The sequence below is a fragment of the Homo sapiens genome, chromosome 5 (assembly GCF_000001405.40).
Source record: "Homo sapiens chromosome 5, GRCh38.p14 Primary Assembly".
NCBI lineage: Eukaryota > Metazoa > Chordata > Mammalia > Primates > Hominidae > Homo > Homo sapiens.
In genome coordinates this window covers 125,035,413-125,053,782 of record NC_000005.10, presented here as the reverse complement: position 1 = coordinate 125,053,782, position 18,370 = coordinate 125,035,413, and the positions used below count along the sequence as shown (strand labels likewise).

Sequence of the window (18,370 nt, the reverse complement as noted above, 5' to 3'; positions counted from 1 at the left end):
CACAGAGGGGGCATATGCCCAGAAGAAAGAAGTGAATTAAGTGGCTGCATATATTGTATAAATACATAGCAGAGAAAGTCTGAAAAGCTATAGGATTCAATTCCAAGAGCCAAGTGATTGAGAGGGGAGAGATTTTTCTCAGTTCCAAAAGTTTTTAAAATAAGATTAAAAACCAAAACTTTAAACACTTCATAGTGTTTATACCTTAACTGACACAATGGGGAGAACGTGGGATGCCATAAGGACTTACCATTTTCCCACCTGAAATTAAATAAGAATTCAACTAGTCCCACCTGAAATTAAATAAGAATTCAACTAGTCCCACCTGAAATTAAATAAGAATTCAACTAGTAGATGGTAAAAGAGGAATTTTAGGGAATGTGATAAAAGTGCAGATATCAACAAGTGCATGAGAAAGGGTCTTGTACCTGACCCCTTAATGGATCAAACCCTTGCACAAATGTAGATATGCTAAGGTCACACCAGAATACCAGAAGCAAAGAGGTTGAGAGATTTTACACCACAAAGCAAACTTCACAGTGACAACAACTCACAGACCTGTGTGCAGACATGAAACTTCCTTTATTTCTCTGTAACTGATTCAAACTTTGGAGCCTCCATATTTATGGTGGAAAATTTAAACTTGTCAAGGTAAACTCAGCCACATCTAACCTAAAACATGTTTTAGTTGTTATACATTTCTGTCAATTCCGCACTCTAAAACTCTTTCCTCCCATTTCCCTCAGTTGTAATAATGTATTAACAGACACTTAACATAGCACTTTTACCTCCCAAGTATAAATTAACTCATTTAACCTTTACCTCTGAGCAATACAGTATCATTGTCTCCACTTCAGAGGTGTAGAAATTGTTAGAGAGATGTCACGTTAGCAAGTGGCAGAGCTGAGATTCAAACGATGTTTTTGGCAGGGCCTCTAAGTAACGGAAAAGCTGTAACTGAGGGGTGGTGTTGGTGGAAGGGCTCAAGGGAGACATCACAGAGCTATCTCCCCCACGCCGGCATGGAGCTCTAAATCCCTGCAGAGAAGCTTTTAAGTAGATGGGAGTAAGCAGAGTCTCCCAGAGCCCAGCGGTTGAACTGACAAAGACAGAGACTATGCTATGGGACAAGATACCACAGCGGAAGCAAGAGAGGACTGGACTAAATCTGGATTCCATGCAAATATAATATAGAGTCTGGGCACAGTGGCTCACGCCTATAATCCCAGCACTTTGGGAGGCCGAGGCAGGTAGATCATGAGGTCAGGAGATCGAGACCATCCTGGCTAATACTGTGAAACCCTGTCTCTAATAAAAATACAAAAAATTAGCCAGGCATGGTGGCACACACCTGTAGTCCTAGCTATTTGGGAGGCTGACGCAGGAGAATCGCTTGAAGCCAGGAGGCAGAGTTTGCAATGAGCCAAGATCATGCCACTGCACTCCAGCCTGGGTGACAGAGCAAGACTCCGTCTCAAAAAAAAAAAAAAAAAAAAAAAATATGATATAGAAGCCCCCAAGATCATAGAGACCACAGAGCTCTTAGAAAGCAGAGAAGTCGCATTTAGGCGAGGAGAACCTACTCTAGAGTCCTCTTGGTTAGAATCTCAGTTCTGCTGCTTTGGTAATTTGGGGCAAAGTGACCTCTCTGTGCCTCAAATTCTTTACATATAAAGTAGAGATAAAAACACAGTCTACAAGGCCGGGCGCAGTGGCTCACGCCTGTAATCCCAGCATTTTGGGAGGCCGAGGCAGGCGGATTACCTGAGGTCAGCAGTTCGAGATCAGCCTGGTCAACACAGTCAAACCCCGTCTCTACTAAAAATATAAAATTAGCCAGGCGTCGCACATGCCTGTAATCTCAGCTACCCAGGAGGCTGAAGCAGGAGAATCGCTTGAACCTGGGAGGCAGAGGATGCAGTGAGCCAAGATCATGCCACTGTACTCCAGCCTGGGCAACAAGAATAAATCTCCGTCTCAAAAAAGAAAACAGTCTACGTATAAGATTGAATAAATTAACTTAACTTATGCAAAGGGTTTAGAATATTATATTACATCGTGGTTATAAGTACTATTTTAAGTGTTTGCTACTATATTGTTACTTCTAAGAGGAATGCAGAAAAAAACAGTATGAGAATCCCAAATTAATTTAAATTTACAACAAATGAAAATACATTTTAAGCTTAAGGTGACTGAATTTGCCTTGATGAGCATATCTTTTTCACCTTAAAAAATAGAGATTTCAAAGCTAAGTTCAGCTTAATTACAGAGAAACAAACGTACATTTCTATACATTGCATCAACTGGGAGACAATTCTTCTTGGCTTCCCCCTATTTGTACACATCTTGGGAGTAGAGCCACTGCCTGCCTTTTGTCCAGACTATATTTTCAAGGATGTCTATACAGTAAAAGGCCCTGGAAGATAGATATAGTGTTTCCCTCCAAAGAAAATAAGGCATGTTTGGTTCTGTCCAGTAAATTGACGGTAACATCTCTCTTCAGGGCAAAGTTAGGCAGGCTACCTGTTATAAAAGGTTCAGGTCCCCTGAATTCAAGATTTCTCTCCTGTAACACAACCCACTGTGAGTCCAGGAATCAGCTGTGCAGCCCTGTAGGAATCAGGGCTTAGGCAGCTGGGACAATCACTGATACTCTGGCTACTGCTATTGCTGTGACTAATAAATGGTTCTTTGTCTCTGACCCAAGAGTCTCATGTTTTCTGCCAACATCCATGACACTGTGGCAGGATAACTTGTTAGCTTGCAAGGAGGATAAAAATCTCAGAACTTTCACACCTTATTTAATATATTACCAATAAACTAAATAAAGCAAAGTATTTATTTATATGTCTTATTTTATTTTATTTCAATAGTTTTGGGGCAAGAAGTGGTTTTTGGTTACATGGATAAGTTCTTTAGTGGTGATTTCTGAGATTTAGGTGCACCCATCACCCAAGCAGTGTATACTGTACCCAATATGTAGTCAAAGTATTTCATCTTACAAAATATAATTTAATAGAGTCATAAGAATACTCATTTTTCTACTTTCATAAGTTTTTCAGTGTTTTGTTTTGCTCTCAGGCCATTCAATATATATACTTATTTTATTCTTTACACACAATATGACTTTTTAAAAAAGAAAGACACTTATCTATATTTAAGCAATAACTAAAGGTTTATGCCAGTGACCAGAGATGTCTAAATGTGGCACATTTTGAACACATCCACAGTCCAAGGATTTATCATTACCTAAGCTAAGAACACCGCAGAACACAGATTTTCAGAGTACAAATTCCATTTCTCCTTCTGCCACATTCAGATGAGATCATGGAATCAAAATTAATTAATTATTTCAAACCTAAGTTCAAGAACACCATGAAGAAAGTAACAACAGTAAATGATTATTTCAAAACAATGATAACATCCATTATTTTATTATCTCTGACTGAAAACAATTGGGTCACATTTTTAAGTTTATTCAAAGAAAGAGAAAATAGATCAGTTGATAGTTCTTCTAAAATCATACAATGAGATCACCAAAGCAAATACAAGACAAATATTCACACCACCACAAACATCAAAGAATAAAGTCAGTGTTTTTCTCTAGCTCTCCCCAATCCTGACCATTCTGGAATAACATGTTTCTGCTAATCTGCCCGTTTGTGAATCACTTGTAGAAACTGACATCTAAAATAACTTCATGGGGGGAGTTAAACTTAACCAGTCCTGGCTACTTTCTCAAATGTCATAATACAAGAGTGAAATTATATACCAGACATAGTTGTTTTCCAAAGTGGGAAACATAAAACTTTAGGGAGATGAATTATAATGTTATGTCAGCAGTATTTTTACCGAGCAGATCCATGAATGTGGTGTTGCTGAGACATTTCTCCTCACGCCCTGCTGCTGGGAGTTGTTCCTCCCTACTTTATTCCTCCTCCACTTTCCTTACTCAGTCATTATCAAATACATTCATCTTGTTTAAATAACACGGTACTTAACCTCCATTTGATGTCGGGAATGTAGGGCTGCTAAATTACAACCAGAAGAATATGAGAGTGTGAGAGAAACAGGCAGAGAGGAAAATACAAAGAAATGTCATGTTTAAGTCTCATAATAACCAAAAACTATATTAAATCCAAAGTATGACTCTATTTCTAGAAGGAGGAAGCCAAGCTGACAGTAGCTCTTTTCACCTGGTAAAACTGGAGATGTGGATAGCTGTTTATAGGCTGATCACTTTTCTGGGATTTTAACATAGTTATAGATTGATACAGCTCACTGCCCACTCATCAATACCTAATGTCCATCTAAGCAACTTTTCCACAATCATGGAATTTGAAAGAAAATCCAGGAATGGGAATCTTAATCAGGATGCATTTTGTACATCACCTGTGGAGTTTTCAAACCCACTTATATCAAAATTCTGTCTTTTAAAAGGTTTACAGTGACTCCATGGTACCCACTGAGAATCGCTGATCGTGGTTATATTTGTTGGTTTGTAGTTGCCCAGAGGACATATGCAAAAATTACCTTCATATTGAGGATTATTAAAAGAATATACAGAATTGGCGTGGTGGCTTATGCCTGTAATCCCAGCAATTCGGGAGGCCAAGGCAGGTGGATCTCTTGAGCCCAGGAGTTTGAGCCCAGCCTGAGCAACATGGCAAAACCCCATCTCTACAAAAAATAGCTGGGCATGGTGGTGTACACCTGTAGTCCCAGCTACTCAAGAGGCTGGGAAGATCACCTGAGCCTGGGAGGTTGAGGCTGCAGTAAGCCCTGATCAAGCCACTGAACCCCAGCTTGGGCAACAGAGAGAGACCTTGTCTAAAAAAAAAAAAGAATATAAAAGGAATTCTACGTAATGCAATCTTACTTAGTCATAGAGCTTTGAGAGGACTGGGATACACAGTGGACTTCGTGGAAAAACAGAACAGTAGCTCAAAATATTTGTGGAAGGAACCTGAACTCAATTGGCCCACTTCTTTTGTTTATCTAGAATTCATTTTTTTCCCAAGTGAAAGTAGGGCCAGTATTCTGCCATTCAGTAAGGAGCACTGCGGTGAGCCAGGAATTCACACTAAGCCACTCTACAGGCCTCCCCAGTTTCTACCCCATGTGTGACTGGCTTTTTGGATCCCATTAACTAGTTTAATTAATACTGTTTTGACTACAAATGAAAGTAAGTTATATCTAGTTCATATGAAAAGAGGTCTTTGTTGTCTGGCATCTCCCAATCTCAGTAAAGGTGGTGGTAAAGGCCTGAAGTTAACAGGAACCAGGACTCTGATGAAACAGGGTTCTCTAGGTTTCTCTTTACTGTGGTTCTCTGCATGAGAAATTTTTCCTCAAGGCTATACCCACTACTACCAATATCTTACATTTTCCCAGTTCTATCAACAGAGAAAAATATTCTGTCCCCACTGTTGTAAATAAGAAAACAAAATAAACAAAAAAGCCTCAAGAAAAAATTCTTATTTGTTTGGAAGGATCATGTGACCAAGCACTGAGAGTATCCGGTCCAGTGAAACTTCCATGGCTGGAGTGAGGGGCAAAAAGAATTCCTTTGAACAAGGAGTAAATGCTACAGGCAATAGTTCTCTACTCCCCTGGGGGGAAAGTTTTATATCACTAAATACAATGTGGCAGTAGCTGTAGTATCTGTGCAAGAAAGAGTGCCCCTGGGCTACGTTACTTAATATGACAGCTGTAGATGAGGCAGCTACCTGAGACTTATGGACTCATGGTGAACCCTGTCCAGTTCTTAGGCCAAATTCCCTTCATTCTACAGATGGGGAGATAGAGCTGAGAAAAATATAAGGTAATTTACACACCTGAATCTTGCAAATAACAGTAATAAATCCAACTGCCCCCTACACACATTGCAGGGTGAACTGACGCTCCTCCCAACACACGAATACAGGATTTAGGGAGGTATGATTTGAGGTGAGGTCTAACAATGCCAGTTAAGAACTTTCTCCAGAGGTTTCTTAGGTGAGCACTACTTTACCAAGTTAAGTCCCCATGACATTCCAGTGTGTTTGAAGCAAACCTTTGAAGAGAAAAGCAGCCAGAACCCTAAACGGATGCCCCTCCTATTCCACCCTCCATCTCTACCCCACTTCATAACCCTGGGGCCAGCCCATTCTCTGCCTCCTTCCCTGAGGGCAGAGTGACTAGTTCAAGCACCCCGATGACTCCCTTTCTTTCAAACATTAAAGAGCTTATACTTATCTAGAGTTTTAAATTTACAGTCCTAGATGGGCAGTCATCTTACTCTCTTTATGTCTATGTAAGTGAAATCAGTTTACTAGAATGTAACTTTGAATTGGAAAGATAGTTTTTCTGCTAATGTGTGGAAATGGAAACCCTGAGCTAAGTTTTTTCAATTCTGAAAAAATGAAAATAATCTCTTCTGGGCAATAACGGATCAAATTCAGGGCTGGCCTATCCCCAGGCCCATCTTTCTTTCTCCTCTGGGCCTCTATTTTCTAGTGTCTGGTTCGCATGCCACTCTGTGTCCCATCAGCTTCTGTGCAGGTATAGGTTGCCCACCTGGACTTAGATGTGAAATTCTCTCAACCTGGTATTCATCAAACTCTGTTGTTCGCATACAACCACAGGCCTCCTACAGCCTGCTGGTCCTCTCAGCACTTCTGAGCCCCCACTGGGACTCAGGAGCTTGCACCCACCTTCTCTGCACTGCTCTGGGCTCATAGTGAGGCTGTCCTTGGGACTCCCTGACTAAGTGCCTGCCTTAGTCATTGGCTACTGTCATGACAATACCAGCTGCTCCAGTACCAGATTGGCCTTGAGGATAGCTTAGAGCAGGGGCACCAAGTCTGTAGCTCTCAGATTCTACCAAATGTATCTAGGTGTTTCCTTCTCTCTGTCTCTCTCTGTCTCTCTCTCCATGCTCACAGCTCTCTGGGTTTTGGTGTCTGCTCTCTCAAGCTACAAATTTTGGGAATACTAAACACTCTGTCTCAAGCACCTGCTCTTTCACATACGAAACACTTTATTTTCTTGACTATGAACTCTAAATTATCTGGTCAACATTGGAGGATGCTAATAGTGAACCAACTCATTATTTTTAGAAGTGACAAATAAGGTATATAAAAAATCAGCATTTATTTTGCCTTCTTCTATGGTGTGCACCACAATAACCAAATGATAAGTGGATGGAGAAAACATGATCTTTATAAAAAATATTCCAGCTTATAAATGAAGAAGAAATGTTAGAATTACAATATCACCAGTTTGCAACCTCTATAACAGAGGACATTAACAGCCACAAACACCAAAAAGAGAGAAAACCAGACAGTATGGTATGTGCCTATTGTTGGAAAAACCCACCACTTCCTATATTATTGCCAAAACTCACTGAATAAGTAAATGAATAAATCCGATCAATCTCTACAGTCAATTTATGAAAATGCAAAGCATAGTGTAACACAGGTACCTACTCTTCAAGGATATGATCAGAAAAACCTGGATGGCAAAACTGCAGGACAAACTTGTTTCTTCAACAAATAAATTGCAAAGAAAAAAAGAGAGAAATGGAGGGGAAATCTATAGAATAAAAGATATTTAAAAGACATATTTGCTAATCTTATTGTTCAGGTCATGTTTGGATCCAGGATTAGAAAAAAAAAAAAAAAGGTGTAAGAAGGACATGACATTTACAAGAAAATATTTGATTTGATGTTGACGATATTAAGGAATCGTTGCTATTTTGGGGGTGTGATGATTACTTTGTATTTGCATTAAAGCAAAAGAGTCCTTGTCTTTTAGAGATGTATACTAAAATACAGTTGTCCCTTGTTGTCCCTGGAGAATTCATTCCAAGACGCCCACAGATACCAAAATCTACAAATGCTCAAGTTCCTGATATAAAATAGTGTAGTATTTGCATATAACTTACTCACATCCTGCTGCATACATTGAGTCATCTCTTGATGATTTACATTTAATACAATGTAAATGCTATGTAAATAGTTGTATTGTTTAGGGAATGACAAGAAAAAAAATCTGCACACGTTCAGTATAAATGCAACCATCTTTAACAAAAAAAAAAAATGAATCTGCGGTTGGTTGAATCCACAGATGTGGAACTGATGGATATGGAGGGCCAACTATACTTAAAGGTAAAACTACTTGATACCTGGGATATGCTTCAAAATAACAAGGGGCTAAATGCAATGTAGTATCTTGGATTGAATTCTAGAAAAGAGAAAGAATTTTAGTGGTAAAACTGGTGAAATAGGAATAAAGTCTAGATTTAATTAATAGTTTCACATCAATACTAACATATTCATTCTGACAAACGTACCATGGAATCGTAAGATAGGGAGACATAGGTAAAGAGTATGTGAAAATTGTCCTATCTTTGCAACTTTTCCATAAATCTAAAATTATGCCAAAATATGAAATTTATTTTAAAAGCAATGAGAAGAGAGAAGTGGATGCAGGTGTAGATGGGACAGGATTCACCAAGGATGAATGGTTGTTGAAACTGGATGGCGAGTATAGAGGATTACTATACAACTCCACCTACTCTTGAGTGAGTTGTAAATTCTCCATAATAAAGTCACGTAAGTTAAAAACATTATGATATTTTCTATAGACTATTAAGAGCCTACACAGACCTTTGGAAGCCAGTAATTTGACACTTTGCTCTCTGTATCATTTCTGCCATCAGGGCAGTGGTGCCTAAAGAGTAGGGCAAAGGGCAGGAGCAGAAAGAATTGGAAAACAGCGGAGTTAAATATCACCCAGCTACAATCACTCGCTTCTTTTCTTATTAGACCCCAAATTATTTCTTCCTTTATATTTTAAAATCTTTTTTCACCTGTATTTTTATCGCATTTTAGATCTCTTCTAGCACCATGTGCCCATCTAGGCATCACTTGGTGTAAGGTCCCCACTGCAATATAACGAACAACCACAGCGTATTAAGCAAGCTAGAAGCATATTTCCCTACACACAAAATAAGTCTGGAGGTCAGCAGGCCAAGACTGTCAAAGCAGCTTCATGGAGTTTTGGATGACTCAAGCTCCTGCCTGTCCCCTACTCTTAGATTCCTACGATGGCAGCCTGGTCACCACACTTACAAGATAGCTTCTAGAGCACACCCACATTCCAGGCAGCAAGAAGGGAGGTCAATCCACTTCTCTTTAAGAAAATCTCCCAAAAGTCCTACATATTTCTGCTAACCTTTCACTGACTAAAACATACCCACACAGCCACTCCTGGCTGCAAAGTGGAAATGTAGAAAATGGTCTTTTAATTATACTCTGGCTGTCCTCTACAAAAACAGAGTCCTATTACTGAAAAAGGAGAACGAAGTGGATGTTGGGTAGAAAATTAGCAGCCTCTGCCACAATCAGTCGTGGGAAAAATCTGAACATGCAGTGGCAGAGGAGTCCAACCATGACTTATGCCCAAATTAATTATCCGGCTAGTGCAATCAGCAAAGATCTGGAAGTATCTGTCATCCCACATACGCTGCTGGCTGGTTTATGTTGATTGGTTTGACTGAAAGTTAAAAGTAGAAAACTGCCTGTTCGTTCACCCTTCACAGCAAGATATCATCTATCTACATCAGACGCCAATATATGTGCATTTGTGTCAGCATCATGTATAGTACTAGATACGCCTGCTGTGACTATAATGTCCTTTAAACCTAAAATGGAATCATTATAGATTCCTCCTGGCAGCCCTCTTGAGTCTCTGGGAGACCTTCTGGCCTCCTGGCCAGTCTCCAGAGAGATTCCTGTCTGTCTGCCCGGGAGGAGACACATTCTGGGCTGCCTGCCCACATTCTAACCTGCTGCTCACACGGGTAGAGAGCTGTGTCTATTTGGGTCAGTCCTTCCAAATGATTATTCTGTTGCCTTTAGGTAAGTTCACTTGAATGTCCCACACATACCAACTGTGCACACCACATGTTTGAAAGCCAGTTGCCCAGTAAAAGCAATGAAGTATGTTGGAAAAAGCATCTGAAATATGAGACTGAGAACCAAGCTGGAGCTCTTTTTGGTCCTGGCAGTGAAAGCTTAGGAAATTCACTTAGGCTCTCTAAGCCTCAGTTTCCTCATATGCCAAACAGAGATATTGCTACCACCTCTACTTTCCTTGCAAATATATTGCAAAGCTCAGTTACAATGAGATATTACATGTCACAGTGCTATACTTTACACCAAAAAGAGGTTAATATTATTCTTAATCTAGTGAAAATGTGAGTCATTGAAAAAAGAAGAGAAAAACAAGAAACAACAATAATGTAGCTCAAGCTCATTTGACCAGGGTCAACACAAAGAAATATAGTAACTAGTGCCAAATCTGCAGGATATAAAGAATATAGAGAGACAAAAGAATATAAAGAGACAAAAGGATCAGTGAAATTATATCTGCCTCAGAAATGATAGATTCTAAATGACTTCTCTCAGGAAGTAAACTTACAACATTCTTCGAGCCACCATTTCCATTTATTATCAGCCATTCTTCCCATGGAACATCAGTTCAAAGAGGAAACCTATTGTTAAATACTCTGTTCTCCTCCAACTGAAAGGGTGAACTATGTTTTATTTCTTTTAACTAGTCACCTTTAAAATTCAGCAAGATTCCTATCTCAGCAGCAAAGACCCAAAACTCTCACATAAAATTTTACTGCTCAATACCATCAGCTAGGGTCCATTTCCATTCATGAATATAAGCCTTTGGGCACAAGTATGTAAGTAGTTACATAAACATAAATTCATTCAGGGAGATAGGTGACTTCTGTAGGTGTGAATGTACATGTGTATGTAATTCGATATATTGGAGCCTCTAGAAGGTTCATAGTTTTATAGAGACATCAACAAGAAGTAATTTTAAATCCTTTAGTTTTTGTCAAAAGAAGGAGCTTTAGTTTATGCAACATAAAATTAGAATTGCTTTTACTTGCTACCAGTTTAATATCAACATTTTTATCCAGAGTTAGACACAAAGCTAAACTGCTGGGATTTGACATAACAAAACTGCTCTCCATATGTGAACCAAAAGTCACTTGGGATCTATCGGCCAATTAAGACTCTTTGCTCAGATCTAACTTTAGAGGGTGACTTCTGTCAAGAGCTAAGGAAGAACACAATTCATTATGACTGCAGAACTCAGAGAAGTCAAGAAGCAGATTCACTGGACATTTGTAAACTTTTCCTGTGACCCACAGCTAGAGCAAAGTACCTCTTAATTGTGAATAATTTTTCCTGATAAAAGTTTCTCACTCCTTTCTTAAATCTGGAACTTCCCTTTCTTGGAAAGCACCCATACACACATAACAAAAGGAATTCATTCCAGATGTCCAAGAGGCTTTGCATGTCAGGGTCTGGCTTTCCTGGTTGCAAAGGGAAATTTTGGCAGGTGGTCATAATGGTATTTTGTCCCTCTCAAACTTGCTGCCATCAAACCACACTGTAAAACTCAGCTGGTTTACATTTGTATAATTTTTGCCTAACAAAGGGAGGAAAAGACCACAAGAAAATTAGCTGAATACTCACCAGATCACAAGGCTGAAACACAGGTATAGGTAAATTCATCCCTAAGAGTTTTATCAGTGCTGTGTTCCCAGAACTGTTCCATGCTGTGTGGAGGAAACAAAAGTAGGAAACACTGTCCTAAGTCTTGAGAATTTAAAATGACTTACTAGTGACAAGGTTAATCAGAATAAGAGTGCCACTGTGCTCCCATAGTACCCTGCATAAAGCATCACTGCACATACTACTCGTTATAATCAACAGTTTGTGTGACTGATGTCATCCACCATGTCCAGCCCCCAACAAGAAGCATGGCATATCTGTCATAGTAAACACAGAGCCCAAAGCATATTCGAGAAATGCTAACTCAGTGAATGCAGGAAACAACAGTAGAAAAAATTAAAGAGATGTGAGAGCTGTAGGGATTCAAAATGCAGTCAAACATGAGCCCATTATGTTTCTGGGAATTATCAAGTGTTAATATTTTTTATTCTGCTAATAAGGCATCTCTTCATATTCCTAAGAACCAATTTGAATTTTTCTGCCCTTAATTGTACTACACACTGAGAAACAACAGCTACTATGCTAGAATATATAACCTTTAGTCTGGAAGTCCATTGTTAAAAAGCAGGTATTATCTTACTGCAGAAGAAAGGGAGAAGAGATACTAAGAGTGATGAAGCTGATTTCATTGCTGTGTTTTGTTGACAGTGTATTCCCAAGGGGAAAGGCAGGCTTGCTGGGGGCGGGGGCGGGGTGGGGGGTGGTGGGAAGCGCTCAAACTTAGGTGAAGGCGGGAGATTCTTTTTTTTTTTTTTTTAAGTAAATTGTCTTATTCTGTACAAAGCAGTTCAGATAAAACATCTGCTTATCTGCTTACTACATTATAAACAGTGTTGAGAGTCCTAGACCTTCACTGTGACCCAATTATTCAGCATTCTCAGTGTAAAACACTGTTTATAAGAGAACTTCAATAAATATCATCATGCGAAGGGTAGTTGTATGGTGAAATAAGTTTAGGAAACACTAATTACCATATCTCCCTCCTTAGATTTGCAATGTACCTTTATATTGTAAAGAAAATTGTGTTAGTTTACTTACTCGGGGTTTTCCCAAAATTATTTGCCTATGAGCTCATTATTCACAAAGTAGATTAGAAAACACCATTCTCAGAGCCCTGCGTTGACTGCTGTCTAACTTTTCTTTCAGTGCTAAATTCTGTTATCATCTTAGGCCAACATTCTCTCACTTTTTAGAAATCATAGCTAAAATTTGGGTACATATTACTACTCCTAAAGAACGTAAGAACTGAGTTCTAAAGATTGAAGCTTAGCAAGAGTCCACCCTGAAGACCAAGGATGAGAAACAGCACTTGGTATCACAGCCTAAAATTAAAATATTATTGGGGAAAAAAATTGAACTTGAATCTGATCAAGCCTTACTAGATTTTACCACCATTTACAGCGATGACACCATGGAATGCAATCAACAAAATCTCAACTTGAGAAACTCCAGAGGATGCATAACCTGCTGCCTTCAAAAAATAAATTAAAAAACAAAACATAAAGGGAGGCCGGGCGCGGTGGCTCACGCCTGTAATCCCAACACTTTGGGAGGCTGAGGCGGGCAGATCACGAGGTCAGGAGATCGAGACCATCCTGGCTAACACGGTGAAACCCCGTCTCTACTAAAAATACAAAAAATTAACTGGGCGTGGTGGCAGGCGCCTATAGTCCCAGCTACTCGGGAGGCTGAGGCAGGAGAATGGTGTGAACCCGGAAGGTGGAGCTTGCAGTGAGCCAACATTGCGCCACTGCAGTCCTGCCTGGGTGAAGAGCAAGACTCTGTCTCAAAAAATTAAACATAAAAGGGAGGTGTTATCTGTAGATTAAAAGATACTGAAGAGGCACATCAACCTTGTGGTGTTTGAGTTTTTTTGTTTTTGTTTTGTTTTTTTGAGACAGAGTCTCACTCCATCACCCAAGCTGGAGTGCAGCTGCACAATGTCGGCTCACTGCAACCTCCGCCTCCCAGGCTCAAGTGGTTCTCTTGCCTCAGCCTCCCAAATAACCGGGATTACAGGCGCTCATCACCACGCCAAGCTAATTATTATTATTATTTTGTATTTTTAGTAGAGACAAGGTTACACCATGTTGGCTGGCCTGGTCTCAAATTCCTGACCTCAGGTGATCCACCCGCCTTGGCTTCCCAAAGTGCTGGGATTAGAGGCCTGAGCCACCGCACCTGGCCAGTGTTTGAGTTTTATTTGGATTCTAATTTGAGCAAATTAACTATGAAAAAATATTTATGAGACAATCAGGAATCTTTGAACACTTTCAGGATATTTGATGATATTTAAAGAATTACTGTTAATTTCTTTAGATGCGATAGTATTGTGGTTGTAATTTTGTAAATATATAAGAAATACTTTCTGAAGCATTTTTGTATGAATAATATGTTATCTAGGATTTGTTTCAAAATAATCCTGGGGAGGGGGATATCAATAAAAATAGATTTGCCATAGTATGATGAGGTGGATACATGAGAGCTTAGTACACTATTCTCTCCAATTTTGTATTTTTTCAAATTAAACGTTTTCAAAAAGCAGTTGGAAGAAAAAAAGAGGGCAAATAAATTATTACAAACCGGATGAATACACTGAAAAGCCACAAGAGCAAGGAATTGTGAGACGCAGGGACAGAAAACACCATGGATACAACAGAGAAGTAAAGGAGTGTGAAAACCAAGAAAAGAAAGAAATTTCAGTGGAGTTTTGAGAGAGTAAAACAGATTATGAAGCGTTCAAAGCATGATGTCTGGTGAAGAAATGTACATAGCTATACCCTCTCATTTGAGGAAGATGGTTATGAAAAAAGATGGTGGTTGGAGGTCAAGTGAAGGTTTGGCAAGATGTGTAGTGCTATGGACTGAATTGTGTTCCCTCTAAATTAATGTCGTGAAGCCCTAAGCCCCCTCCATGTGATTGCATTGGAGAAAGGGCCTTTAAGGAGGTGATTAAAGTGAAATGAGGTATAAGAGTGGAGCCCTGATCCAATAGACCTGTTGGCCTTGTAAGAAGAACAAGAGAAACTAGAGATTTCTCTCGTCATGCACACAGAGGAAAGGCCATGTGAGGACATAGCAAGAAGGTGGCCATCTACAGGCCAGGAAGAGGGTCCCCACTAGAATGGGACCATCCTGACACTTTGATCTTGGACTTCCAGCCTCCAGAACTGTGAAAAAACAAATTCTGTTGTTTAAGTTACCCAGTCTATGGTATTTTGCTATGGCAGCCCAAGTTGACTAATGCAGGTAAAACATGCACATTTACCTCATTAGCCTTTCTCGCTACTTTGCTAAGCATTTATCATGTACTTTTTTTATTATGTTGAAATTCGACATGGGAAAATAGATGTCACTGAGTGGTATTGTTGTTCTGTGTTCCTTTAGGAAAAGGTCAGTCAAGTACAGCCACAAAAGAAGACACAGGAGAGCCTCCAGGAAACAAGATGTGTGATACTTGCAAGTCCTGGAGAGCCAGTTACTGCATGCTGAGAGGGGGCCATATGGGAGGAGTGCCAAGGAAGCGGGCTCAGCCAAGCAGTGGGGAGAGCCGAGAGAGAGTGAGGACCTGTGGTCAGGTGCCTTCACTGGCAGTCAGGGTGGAGTACACAGGAAAAGGGATTTCACTGGTGCATTTGAATGTTACTAAGTCACGGTTGAGGGAGGGCAGTGATGGGAAACTTGTGATAGGGACCAGCGTTATCACATTAGTGTGCCTGGACACCTGGGCAAGGTGCTCACAGCTCAACAAGAGGCAGCAGGAAACAAAATAGGAAGTTTAAAAATTTTTTAAATTCACAATACAGCTATAAAGACTCAGTAATTGTTCCTCTCAAAGTTTGTTTTCATAACATGCTCTTTTCACTATGTTCACGCTTTACTTCTTTAAAGGAGAAAACACCAGCTTTCAGCTTTAATCATGAGCAGAAAGCTTAGATAAACCATGTAAATCCAGGCCGGGCACGGTGGCTCATGACTATAATCCCAGCAATTCGGGAGGCCGAGGCAGGTGGATCACCTGAGGTCAGGAGTTTGACAGCAGCCTGGCTAACTTGTGAAACCCCGTCTCTACTAAAAATACAAAAATTAGCTGGGCATGGTGGCAGGAGCCTGTAATCCCAGCTACTCAGGAGGCTGAGGTAGGAGAATTGCTTGAACCTGGGAGGCAGAGGTTGCAGTGAGCCGAGATCGCACCATTGCACTCCAGCCTGGGCGACAGAGCGAGACTCCATCAAAAACAAACAAAAAAGTAAAGCCAAATTTTTCTCCCTTATTACTTTCCAAAGCACATAGGCTCACTTAATTCAGCTATTAGAAATTTCTGCATTCAAGATCTCCCGGTTTTTCTGACCAAATTAATGCTCTTAAATTTTCCTCATTCTGATTGTCAAGGGTTCCCAGCACCACTCTCGTGTTCAGTGATTCACTAGGGTTCACGGGACTCAGCATATAGTCACAGCTATGATTTATTAGAGCAAAAGGAGGCAAGGCAAAATTAAATGGAAAAAGGAGCATCGGGTGAGGCCCAGAGGAAACCAGGCACAAGCTTCTAAGGGTCCGCTCCCAGTGGATTCTCACAGAACACACTAAATTCCTTCAGCAACGAGTTGCAACAACACATGGAAATGTTGTCTACGAGGGAAGTTTATTAAAGACTCAGTGCCCAAGGCTTATGCTGGAGGCTGGTCACTTAGGCACTCTCTGCCTAGCACTTGCCAAAATGTCGTACTCCAAGAAGAAATGCAGGTGTTCAGCGTAAGTCAATCGCACAGTTCAGGCACAGTGAGCCACTCATCAGTTAGGCAACTGTGGAAACCTTCCTGAAATTTAAGATTTCAGATGCTAGCCTGGCGCCACCCTTACAAGCAGGCCTAAGAGAGCTGTCTCAGGCCTGCCATGTTAACTTTTCTCTGCACACTCATGGGAAACTTTGCTGTCATTCAGGACTATTCAGGGTCTTCACCCACTGTGACTTCTTTGTAGCCTTTAATACTCTGACCACATCCTCTTTCTGAATTTTATACCTTTTGTGATTTTCATACCATGCTATACCATGAAACTATTTCTTCCCTTTTGTGTCAGAAAAGGGGATTATGAGGGCAGTCCCATGGTTAGGGACTGAGGGAGGTGGGTGACCCCAAACTATAACTCTTTCCCCTTTCCCTCAGTGAATCTGAAATCAAATACAAACACACATCCCCAAAATGGAAACCCTTCAGAAGACCAAACTATCTTGTCTCTATTCAGAATCTGTATCCTCTCATCCCTACATCTCTATTCCTGCCCCTTGTAGCATATCTCCAACCCAGGCTAAAGTGGCATGTGCCCCACTCACCCTGGCTTCTTCAGAAGGCATGTGCTGCACTTCTAATCTTCATGTTTCTCACTTGGCCAGAGGAACGTTATGGAGAGAAGCTTTGCTACACTACGTTCTGTCCGTTCTATTGCCCCAAGATTCCACATTCACGTACTTCCCATCCTCAGAGCAATCATGGCCTAATTGGCCTCTCTCCCTTCATCACTTCCATCCTACTAATACCCAACGTATAAATATCCCTAACCACAGCTGTGACTTTTGATCACGCCACAACTTAAAACTGTCAGTGTTGCCTGTTGCCTATTTCCTAATGAACAGAATTTCCTAATGAATAAAACTCTTGGCCTGGTATTAAGGTCGTCCGTGACTTAGCCACACTCTTTTTCTAGTCCCATCTTCCTCTACCGCTATTCCCATATTCATTTCTGAAGTGAATAAGAAAGCTATTTAATAATGCTCCTCTAGATAATTTAGTCAAACTAGATCAATGGGCTTTTTTTTTTTAATGTACCTTTTATTCTCCAGGCTACCTTAATTGAGAATAGGACCAAGAACTCATTTGTAATGATCAGCTAAAGCCAGGCTCTTTCTCACTTTGCCAGCACACTGGAATCACCTGGATCCCGCTCCTCGGTTTTCTGATTCAGTCGATCTAGGATGTGGCCTGGGCATTGGGGTTTTTAGAAGCTCCCTAGGGTTTCTATAATGCACAACCAGGGCTGAGAAACACTGACACAGAAAATCTGTCTTTGCCTGTGTTTTGTCCGAAATGGACTATGGGACTATTACAACAGAGTCCATGCATGTTCTTTTTATATCTCTATTCCTTATCTAAAGCCACAGTCCTCCCCTTAATCTCCACTTCTCCTCTTTGACACCTAACCCCCAATGCCTCTTTCTTGAGAAGCCTTCCCTGATCTCCAGTGAACAGTATTCTCACCATCCCTGAAATGTAGGACCATCTCGCTCATGCCCCTCCGCTTCTGATGCTGCTCATCTGTCTCGCTTCTCACATTATTCTTGTATTGCTGAAGCCCCTCTTTCCTCAGGTGCTTTTCCAAGCACCTTTCTCATACTTGATTTAGCATAAAATTTTGTGTTGTGGTGTTAAATGAAAATTTGAAAAATCAAAACGTGATTTTTAATTTTTGCAATGGTTGTGTAATGCTTTTAATGAGAGATTCACCCAGCAAGTCAAGTAAACATATTCTGATCTTCCCAAGTCATGAATTGTTCTGAGAGTAAACACTCACCCCTAATCATTTTAAGATCTGAATCAACTCTGGGTACATTTGCTTTACTTCTCACTGACAACTAGTCGCTTTTCAGGCTTAGGCTACCAAATCCAAAGTTGCATATTCAGAATTCCAAAACAAAAGAAAACCAAAATAACCCCCTTTTGCCATGTTGTCTCCTGCTATAAATTAGGCTGGGTTTGCATCCAAATGTGAGGAGACAACAAGGAGATGAG

General features: G+C 40.4%; 1 long non-coding RNA gene across 1 annotated transcript in view; it reads right to left on the bottom strand.

The window, feature by feature from the left end:
* The window catches only part of LOC101927421 (uncharacterized), a 330,904-nt gene extending 313,952 nt beyond the window's left edge, over positions 1 to 16,952 (bottom strand). Inside the window, exons 1-2 of the long non-coding RNA NR_109882.1 lie at positions 16,918 to 16,952; positions 11,544 to 11,626 (exon numbers count right to left, since the gene is read on the bottom strand). This is a non-coding gene — a long non-coding RNA (uncharacterized LOC101927421). The remainder of the gene's footprint in view (positions 1 to 11,543; positions 11,627 to 16,917) is intronic.
* Between the last annotated feature and the right edge of the window lie 1,418 nt (positions 16,953 to 18,370).